The 11,103-nt window shown below is 44.6% G+C and overlaps 2 annotated features.

The window, feature by feature from the left end:
- Nucleotides 10,870–10,919: a silencer, noted in NCBI's record as "silent region_6767". NCBI's record gives its function as "represses an Ori minimal core promoter by ATAC-STARR-seq in GM12878 lymphoblastoid cells {active_cell/tissue: GM12878}" and the evidence as "EXISTENCE:reporter gene assay evidence [ECO:0000049][PMID:35858748]".
- Nucleotides 10,950–11,019: a silencer, noted in NCBI's record as "silent region_6766". NCBI's record gives its function as "represses an Ori minimal core promoter by ATAC-STARR-seq in GM12878 lymphoblastoid cells {active_cell/tissue: GM12878}" and the evidence as "EXISTENCE:reporter gene assay evidence [ECO:0000049][PMID:35858748]".

The following is an 11,103-nucleotide window of genomic DNA, read 5'->3' as shown; positions in this document are numbered from 1 at the left end:
CAGGGGAGGCTGGGGATGCACAGATGGAACTTTCCAGCAGCTCAAGCGTTTATTTACCTCTGTTCCTAACCCATGTCAACCCTTGACCACAGAACTGGCACTAGCTTGTCACTGGAGAGTCCTAAAGAAGCTGTCTCCTCTGTGTCTGATTCTGGGAAGCTGGTCCTTGCCAGTGTCAACTATCCTACATGAGACAGAGAGAAAGTCACATTTAAGACCAATTCATGGCATAATGATCCTACTGAGAAGGGCCCTGGTAGCCAAGCCAGTACCCTAAGACCAGCCTGCTACATCGAAGCAAGCCTGGAAACACAGCCAAGTTCAAGGTTGCTCCCCCAAGAGAGTCCTTTCTCCATTGGCCAAACCACAAGGGTGAGAGAGGCTCTGTTCCACCAGAAAGCATTCTTGGTTAAAAGCTTAAGAACTAATCTGGCTAACTTAAGTAAAAGGGACTTACTGAAAGACTGTCAGGGAACTGACAGAGTAGAAGGGAGCTGACGAATCAGGCTTGAGAACAGTTAGGAGCCAAGAGACAAAGAGGAAGTCCCCAAAAACCACAATAACAGTCTCTGAGCAGAAAAAGTTCAGCTTGCCTATCCCATGACCTCTGGTGGTACTACAGCCATCTCTGTTTCTCCGCCTTTCTCACACAAATTCTCCCATGCAAGGAAAGAGCATTTGGTTGGTTGAGTCTAAGTCACATGCACATTCCCTGGATGCAGCAGGGTGAGAGAGGATTGGATGTGGCTCCTAGATTTTCTTACTAATACCCCACACAAAGGCAGATTCTCCACTCTGGAGACTGAAGGCCTGTTAGGAAACACTGGACAGGCAGAAACAATATCACTACTTGTCTTTAGGCTCTGAGCAAGAAGGGACCTCACCCCAAGGAATGCTCAGCCTAAGGCATTTGGGGGCCCTTAGCTCATCTAGAGTTGATGAAAAATGATGTGGGTGGGAATGGGGAGAACTGCTCCATAACAGTTCTTTCCATAACAGTTTTGATTGGAGAGTTTAGTCCATTAACATTCAATGTTAGTATTGACTTATTCTTGCCATTTTGTTTTCTGGTTGCTGTGGTCTTCTCTTTCTTCTTTTCTTTCTGTCTTCCTTATTGTGAAGGTGATTTTCTCTGGTAGTATGATTTAATTTCTTGCTTTTTGTGTTTTGTGTATTTATTGCATATTTTTAAATTTGAGATTACCATGAGGCTTGGAAATACCATCTTATAACCCATTATTTAAACTGATGACAACTTTGCACTGCTTGCACAAAGGAACAAACAAATAAACAATGAAACAAATAAAAAGAAAACTAATAAAAACTCTATTTTAATTTGTCCTGCTTTTTAACTTTTTGCTATTTCTACTTACATCTTATTGCACTGTCTATGTCTTGAGAAGTTGTTGTACTTATTACTATTTTTGTTTGGTTCATCTTTTAGTCGTTCTACTTAAGAGTTGTTTGCACAATTGCCGTGTTATAATACTCTGTGTTTTTCTGTGTACTTACTATTACCAGTGAGTTTTGTAACTTCACATGATGTCTTATTGCTCATTAATGTCCTTTCGTTTCTGATTGAAGATGTCCCTTTAGCATTTCCTGTAGGATAGGTCTGGTGTTGATGAAATCCCTCAGCTTTTGTTTGTCTGGGAAAGTCTATTTCTCCTTCATGTTCAAAGGACATTTTCACTGGATATGTTATTCTAGGGTAAAAGTTTTTTCCTTCAGCTCTTAAAATATGTCATGCTGCTCTCTCCTGGCATGTAAGGTTTTCACAGAAAGTCTGCTGCCAGGCGTATTGGAGTCCCATTGTATGTTATTTGTTTCTTTTCTCTTGCTGCTTTAGGATCCTTTCTTTATCCTTGACCTTTGGGAGTTTGAGTATTAAATGTCTTCAGGTAGTCTTCTTTGGGTTAAATCTGCTTGGTGTTCTATAATCTTCTTGTACTTGAATATTTATAGCTTTCTCTAGGTTTGGAAAGTTCTCTGTTATTATCCCTTTGAATAAACTTTCTATTTCTCTGTTTCCTCTTTAAGGCCAATAACTCTTGGCTTTGCCCTTCTGAGGCTGTTTTCTAGATTTCGTGGGCATGCTTCATTAAAAAAAAATTTTTTTTGTCTTCTCTAACTGTATATTTTCAAATAGCTTGTCTTCAAGCTCACTAATTTTTTCTTCTGCTTGATCAATTCCACAATTAAGAGACTGATGCATTCTTCATTATGTCAATTGCATTTTTCAACTCCAGAATTTCTGCTTGATTCTTTTTATTTCAATCTCATTGTTAAATTTATCTTATAGAATTCTGAATCCTTTCTGTGTTATCTTTAATTTCTCTGAGTTTCCCCAAAACTGCTATTTTAAATTATCTGTCTGGAGGTCACTTATCTCTGCTTCTCTAGGATTCGCCCCTCTAGTTTGTTTGGTGAGGTCATGTTTTCCTGGATGGTCTTGATGGTTGCAGTTGTTTGTCAGTGCCTTAGCATTCAAGATTTATGTATTTATTGTAGTCTTCTCAGTCTGGGGTTGTTTGTACCCATCCTTGGGAAGGCTCTCCAGGTATTTGAAGGATGTGGGTCTTGTGATCTAAACTGTATCTGCATTAGGGGACACGCCAAACCCAGTAATGCTATGGTTCTTGCAGACTCATAGAGGTACTGCCTTGGTGGTCTTGGGTAAGATCTAGAATTCTCTGGACTACCAGGCAGAGATTCTTATCCTCTACCTGTCATTTCTCCCAAACAAACAGTCTCAGTCTCTCTCTCTCTGCTGAGCCACTTGGAGCTAGGGGTGGGCTGACACAACATCCCTATGGCCACCACCACTGGGACTGCAATGGATCAGACCTAAAGCCAGCAAAGCACTGGGTCTCACTCAAAGCCTGCTGTAAACACTACCTGGCTATCCCCTATGTTCACTCAAGGCCTAGGGCTCTACAGTCAGCAGGTGGCAAAGCCAGCCATGTTTGTGTCCTTCCCTTCAGGCCAATGAGTTCCCTCAGGCCCTGGCGGGTCCAGAGATGCTGTCTGGGAGCCAGGGACTGGAGTCAAAAACCTCAGAAATTTACCTGGTGCTTTAGTCTATGGTGGCTGAACTGGCACTGAAACCATGTGAAAAAGTCCTTCCCATTCTTCCTTCCCCTTTCCACAGGCAGAGGAGCCTCACCCTGTGGCCACCCCCACAGGCCCACAGCGAGTACTGCCAAGCTACTGGCTATGTTCACTTAGGGCCCAAGGGCTCTTCAGTTGCTTGTGGTGAATGCTTCCAGGCCTGGGACTCACCCTTCAGGGTGAGGTCAGAGCAGGTCCAGAAATGCTGTCTAAGAGCCAAGGCCTAGAATCAGTGACCACAAGAGCCCATTTGATGCTCTACCACATTGTGGCCAGGCAGGTACCTAAGCTGCAAGACAGAGTCCCTTGTGCATTTCTCTCTGCTTTTCTCAAGCAGAAGAAGTCTCTCACCACAGCCACCATAGCTGGGAATATGCTGGGTCTCACCCGAAGCCAGCATGCCTCAGAGTCTTACTCCAGGCCCATAGCATACTACCTGGGTATCACTGCAGGTTATTTGGGTCAAAAGGGCTCTAGAGTCAGCAGATGATGAATCCTGCCAGGACTGGGTTCTTTCCTTCAAGGCAGCAGGTTCCCTTCTGGCCCAGGGTGTATCTAGAAATGTAATTCAGGAGCTACGTCCTGGAATGGAGGCCTCTCAACTCTGACTAGTGCTCTATCCTACTGTGGCTGAGCTGGTATCCAAGATGTAAGATAAAGTCCTCTTTACTCTTCCCCCTCCTCTCCTCAAGCAAAAGGAAGAAGTCACTTTTGTTGCTGCAAGCTGTGCTGCCTGGGGTTGGGGGAGGGGTGGTGCAAACCCTCCCTTGGCTCCCTTGCCTGGTGTCTCTCTAGGTTGTGTGCCCCGAGTCCACTGGCTCTGAGCCCAGCATGGCATTAGGAATTGCCTAGGAGTTGAAGTCCTTATGGTCTAGACTGGCTTGAAAGTTTATTTAGGGCCCCAGAGCATGATAGCCTGCCATGCCAAGGCTTGTCAAAACCCAAGCCTCAAGCCTCCTAACTACTGGGATGGGTGAAGTCCTCTGGGTAGGGCTGGTCTAAATGCTCCCTCCATGGGCAGGTGTCATGAGAGTTCCACCTGGTTTTGCTTTCTGCTGTGACAGGGCAGCACTGAGTTCAGTGCAAAGTCCCACAGTTGCTGCATTCTCCCTCTCCCAAGTGCACAGATTCTCTCAGCACCACAGCGGCCACTGCTGAGGGATGGGGGAGGGGTGACATCAGTGTTTCAAGACTGTCTTTCCCACCCTCCTCAGTGCCTCTTTCAGCGATATGAAGTTAAAGCCAGGTACTTTGAGTCCTCACCTGATTTTTGGTTCTTATGAAGATGCTTTTTTGCTGTGGACAGTTGTTAAATTTGATTTTCCTGCAAGGAGAATCATTGGTGGAGGCTGCTATTCAGCCATCTTGATCTGCTCCTCCTCCCTCACCGAACTTTAATTATCTCCTAAGAGCTCTATTTCCAAATACAATCACATAGCAGATCAGAGCTCCAATGTATGAATTTTGGGGAGACCCAATTCAGTCTATAGCATTTGGACTGGGGGAGAGGGAGGAAGAGAACATTCAGAGGAAGGACACAGTATAAGCAACAATTTGGAGGTGGGAAAGTTCACAGCTCATGGATAGAAAAAAAATGATCCAGTTTGGCAGGGCCCACAGGGAGATGTGGTGGAGTGGTGAGAGGTGGGCCACATCAGAAAGAACCTTGAATACCAGGCTGAGGTTGGAGACATTTCCTGTTGTGTTGAAGGTGCCATGAGGTGGTAGGGAGGTAACATGATGAAAGGATATTTGGGAGGATGGATCTGGTATCAGTGATGGGCGGGGTAAGGAGTGAACTAAGCTGGAGGCCAGGAAACTGGACACACAGCCCAGAGTTTAGGCTTAGGCTGTTCAAAGGCACTGTTTCCACACTGAGTTCCAGTATGGATCAAAGCATGCAGAGGGTGGATGATTTGGAAAAGCAAAACCATTCTCTTCCCATTACCACACAGTTTCCCAGCTGAGCTCATCACCAGAGTCCTACAAATCAGACAGTCAACCTGCCCCAAACTCTGTCCCTAGAGGCTGTGACCCAGAGGGAGCCCTTGTCCAGCTGTAGCCCAGGGACACTGCAGCCTGAGCAGGACTGCACCTGTTCCCTCCCAGGAGCCTCATCTCTGTGTAGCCTGGCTTTGGCTTCAAATGCCCTCAGCTTTGGCTTCAAAATCTGTTGGGTCAGATTCATGAGAACTCTGGCCTTCTTTGGTTTAGGGATTTTAAAATAGTTTTTTCAACAAGCAGTAGATGAGCTCTGTTTGCTTACCTCTAAGAACTGGCCAGAACTCACAGAAAACTGTTATACTCACAGTTATGGTTTGATTACAGGGGAAGGATATAGACTAAAATCAGCCAGGGGAAGAAAGGTATAGGGCTGAGTCCAGGAGGGCACCAGACATGGAGTGTCCATTATCCCTTCCCCATGCAGTCAGAGTGCATTACCCTCCTGACTTTGCTATGTGCCAATACACATGGAGTATTCCCAGCCAGTGAGGCTCCCTCAAGCCTCAGTGTTCAGGGTTTTTACTGGAACTTCATCACAGAGGCATGCTTGATTGTCCACGTGGTTGCTCTTAGTTTCGAGTCTCCCATGATTCCAGGGGTGACATAAAGCCTGGACTCTAAATCACATAGTTGGTTTTCCTGGACTGGCTGGTCCCCACCCTAAATCTTTCTACTAGACTATCCATCAAGACCCGAGATCCACAGGCAAAGATATTCCTGTCAGGCATTACATGTTGGAGATTACCTCCTAGGAGTCGAGGACAAAGGCCAGAACTCTTTTGGGTCAAGATTAATTTTTTTTTAGCTATACAACATACCATCATTCTGTTATCCTTCCTTTCTGTTTTATCTTCAAAATAACCCTAATTGGTGGGTAAGGATGTTTATTATTATAAACAATATGTCGAAAGGAAAGACACTTGAGCAAAGTTGCACAGTTGATTCTTGACTCATGGTATAATGCTCTTTCCACTCTCTGAGAACCCTGAGTCTTGAGAAGAAGATGGAAGATGTGTACATATGTGTGTGCACATGTGTGTTTGTGTTTGTAAATGTATATCTAATAAGTACATGTAGATATGTGTATGTTTCTGTGTGTGTGTTTGTGTATACATGTGGATGTGTGGGTATCTATATTTATGTTTGTGTGTATGTGTACACATGCTCAGGGGGAAGGTTAAAGAGAAAATCAGCAGGGCGCAATGGTGCACACCTGTAATGCCAGCTACACGGGAGGCAGACGGGGGAGGATCACTCGAGCCTGGGAGTTTGACAGAGAAAATTTCAATAATCTTCTTGGTGTTAGAAGGAAAAACCTGGGGCTGGGCATAAAGAGACATAAAACAGCATAAAGAGGAAAAGAAATGCCTAATGAAAAACAAGTGACCAATAATTAATTAGTTCATTTATAAAGAAATACAGCACTGGCCGGGTGTGGTGGCTCATGTCTGTAATCCCAGCACTTTGGGAGGCCGAGGGAGGCAGATCACGAGGTCGGGAGATCAAGACCATCCTGGTCAACATGGTGAAACCCCATCTCTACTAAAATACAAAAAATTAGCTGGGTGTGGTGGCGCACCTGTAGTCCCAGCTACTCGGGAGGCTGAGGCAGGGGAATCACTTGAACCCGGGAGGTGGAGGTTGCAGTGAGCCAAGGTTGCTCCACAGCACTCCAGCCTGGCGACAGAGCAAGATTCTGTCAAAAAAAAAAAAAAAAAAAGAAAGGAAAAGAAAAGAAATATAGCACTTTAGCAGCAGAATAAAACTGGAAGATAATTTCCTCTAGAACCCTGATAATCTTTGTGAGAAAACTGTTGGTCACATATGTTAACTGCCAAAACTTGCAGGACCCTGTGCAACAGAACTGGCAAGTAAAACCATCTTTCTTTCTTAGACTTGCTATGCTACAAGTGGCATTCAACTAGTTCTCAATCCAGATTTCATGAACCTGTCTCCAGCTTCCAGATGGTGAGGGAAAGTGTGATGAGACTTTAGGATAAATTGTGCCTGTCTCTGAGTCCATCTCCTCCTATTGAAGAGAAGGAAAATGAGGCTAGCGCATTACAGCCCTGTGTGACAAAAGTCACAAGATAAGCAAATAATTATTATTTAAAACCAGAGAGTCCTATAACTTATTCACGAATGCCACACATTCTATATTAGATCTTCCATTTCAATTTACTCGTATTCTTTCAAGGAAATTTATAAGATTTGTATTATTCAGAAAATGCTCCCAAGCTAATAGAAGAAAATACTGTAACTACAGGAAGCATCAGGCTACACAATATGGTATGGTGGTGAAGTGTGTAGCTTCTAAAACCAGAAAACACAGGTTCAAGCCCTGGCTCTACCACCTTGGGAAAGTTACATGGTCTCTCTCTGCCTGAATTTCCCCATTTAAAATGTGGGGATGACAATAATAGTGTCTATTTCACAGAGGTGTTGTGAGGAAAATAATATATGTGAAGCCACTTTGAACAGCAGTTAGTGGTATGTAAGTGTGTGCTATTGTTATTTTAACATTTCAGGTTATAAATATCTACCCTGTTATTCAGATGACAAGTGTCTGTAAGCTGATAACATGATGAAGAGCTTCTGTGTTCCTTGGTTTTCCATCAGCTTTGTAAGGAAAAAAATACCACACAAAGAAGAGCAACTGATGCAGTCATGAGAAGGAAAGTTGGCTTAAGATTGGGGGGCTTGGGTTTATTAGGCTTTCATCTTCTAAAAATTTCCTAAGCTCCATCGATAAGAAGATTTTTAATATCAATCCAGCTAAAAAGTACCAATAGACCCCACAAGACACTGAGTTAGACATAAAAATGGAAGGGTAATAAATAGCCAGGTACGGTGGCTCATGCCTGTAATCCCAGCACTTTGGGAGGCCGAGGCGGGCAGATCACGAGGTCTGGAGTTCGAGACCAGCCTGGCCAGCATGGTGAAACCCCATCTCTACTAAAAACACAAAAATTAGCTGGGCATGCTGGTGCGTGCCTGTAATCCCAGCTATTCAGGAGGCCGAGGCAGGAGAACTGCTTGAACCCAGGAGGTGGAGGTTGCAGTGAGCCGAGATCATGCCACTGCACTCCTGCCTGGGTAACAGAGCGAGACTCTGTCTCAAAAAACAAAAAAACAAAAAAAGGAAGGGTAATAAATAAAATATGGGAAACCACACAAGCAGAAAAATAAACAACTACCAGTACCCAGAACATGGCTAAATCTCATAGGATGATGTTGAATGAAAGAAGCCAGCCACAAATGTGCACATACTGTATGATTCCATTTATATGATGTTCAAGAACAGGCAAAACTATTCCATGGTGACAGAGGTCAGTATCGTGGTTAACTTTGAGAAGAATAGCAACTGAGAAGGGGCAAGAGGGAGTCCTCTGTGGTGATGCAAGCATTCTGTATCTTGAACTGAATGATGGTCACGTGAGTGTGCACATATGTAAATAGTATGGAGTTGTAACTTAAGGTATATGCACCTCACTGTATGTAAGATACTGTCTTAGTCCATTTGTGCTGCTGTAACAAAATAGCTGAAACTGGGTAATGTATAAAAACAAAAATGTATTTCTCACAGTTCTGGTGGCTGGGAAGTCCAAGATCAAGGTACCAGCAGGTTTGTAGTCTAGTGAGGGCTGCTCTCTGCTTCGAAGAAGGCACGTTGAATGCTGAGTCCTCCAGGGATGAGGAAGGCTGTGTCTAACATGGTGGAAAGGACAGAAAAGCAAAAGACCAAAACTGAGCTGGGTAGCTCCCTCAAGCCCTTTCATAAGGTCACTAATCCCATTCATGAGGGGGCTTCTCCCTCACTACTTAGTCATCTCCTAAACACTCCACCTCTTAATACTATCACATTGGGTCTTAAATTCCAGCATGAATTTTGGAGGAGACACAATCATTCCAACCATAGCAAATATACTTTACTAAAAAAGAAGAAAAAAAGGAAAATCTTGCCTCTAAACATAATATTTTAAGAGTTTAGGCCAGGCATGGTGGCTCATGCCTGTAATCCTAGCACTCTGGGAGGCCGAGGCGGGCAGATAACTTGAGGTCAGGAGTTTAAAACCAGCCTGGCCAACATGGTGAAACCCCATCTCTACTAAAAATACAAAAAAATTTTCCGGATGTGGTGGCGGATGCCTGTAATCCCAGCTACTCAGGAGGCTGAGGCAGGAGAATTGCTTGAACCTGGGAGGCGGAGGTTGCAGTGAGCCGAGGTCGCACCACTGCACTCCAGCCTGGGTGACACAGTGAGGCTCCATTTCAAAAAAAGAGTTTATATATTTACAGCCCAATTTTCTGCTTGCTTGCATACATATTTGTGACCATGAGTGTCATTCTTAGCTGAGAAAAGTTTCAGTAAATTAAATTTTTTTTCACATTATCTATTAATATCCTATTCAGATAAAACCAAATTTCTAACCTAGATTTTAGGTTAAGACAGAAACCCACAGTCGTTGGTTGCAATGTGAGAATGACAGAGAGATTAACTAGCAGCATCCAACTATAAAAATACATTTAAGGGCACAATTCTCTACTAATGACTCCCCCAGACAAATCATTACTTGGATAAATAAAAATGGAAGTGAGCAAAGTTTGAGTCCGTTTTGCAATGGATGTTTCCGAGACTACTAAGTGAAGAGGGTTCAGAAACAAGGGGATAAATGGCATGCTAATTTGGGGTTGAATGGCGTAATGGGATGATCTTGGAAATATAAAAATCCTGCTTAATGGGGCTTGTCTACTTGCAATTCAATAAATCAATATACGTAAATTCAAAGAGACAAAGGACATGAGCACTCAGAACAAAATTACAGGAACAGGGCCAAGCGCGGTGGCTCACGCCTGTAATCCCAGCAATTTGGGAGGCTGAGGCGGGCGGACCACCGGAGGTCAGGAGTTTCTGACAAGCCTGGCCAAGGTGGTGAAACCCCGTCTCTACTAAAAATACAAAAAGTAGCTGGGCATGGGGGTGGGCGCCTATAGTACCAGCTACTTGGGAGGCTGAGGGAGGAGAATCACTTGAACCCGGGAGGCGGAGGTTACAGTGAGCTGAGATCGCGCCACTGCACTGGATCCTGGGCGAAAGAGTGAGACTCCATCTCAGAAAAAAAAAAAAAAAAAAAATTCAGGAACAAATTTAGCAAAGAGGCACCAAAGTTGAGATAAGGCCCACTGTTCCACGTCTGACATCTTTAATTCCTGAGTCATGGGGATAGTAAGCCAGGAACAGAGTCTTCTGACTGGAAGTTAAAACCAGCCTTTGGAGTGGGTTCAGAGAGACTGTTCAGACTCAAGATGCGGAAGCCGATGTTGCATGGTCGGAAATATCCTGATTGCAAGGGCATTTTAAAAGACAATGGCGCTCGGGGAAAAAGAATGCTGTGTGTTTAAGAAGAAAAAAATAAAAATAAAAAGAATGGAAACAAGGAAGAAAAAGTGACCAGAGGGTAGGGCAACCATATGTTCGTTCTGGTTTGCAAGGTACAGCTAAGGTTATGTCTGCTGTCCCGGTGCAATTATTAGTGTCCCCTTTCACTCTCCGAAGTGTCTGGATTTGGATGATAAAGCATATGATCACCCTATTAAAGAGAGGAAATTAGCCAGAAGACCTATGTGTCTATTTCAAACGGTGTGGATCCATCCGCAGCCGCGCTGGTGGCGCTGCCCAGCTGAGCGGTGTGCACCACCTCTGCCTAGCCCTACCCCGCCCTGCCCGGGTCTCCAGGAACGCTGGAGCGGAACCCTTGGCTCTTGCGCTGCTCTGGTGCCACCTACAGGTTATGTGTGGGAACTGCTTCTCCCCACCCCGCTACCCACCACCCCGCCTCCCCACCCCGACCCTGGACAGCCTTGGACTTGCCCAAAAGACATTCAGAGCACGCGAAGCTCCGGCTGGGGAGTGGGCTGGATCCGACAGTGAAGTCCACGTTACAGAATCAGACGGGCCCAGCTTAAACCAACAAAGCCCAGCTCCTC

Source organism: Homo sapiens, chromosome 15 (assembly GCF_000001405.40).
Source record: "Homo sapiens chromosome 15, GRCh38.p14 Primary Assembly".
Taxonomy (NCBI): Eukaryota; Metazoa; Chordata; class Mammalia; order Primates; family Hominidae; genus Homo; species Homo sapiens.
Note: the sequence above shows the minus strand (reverse complement) of the source record. Positions and strands in the feature narration are given on the sequence as shown.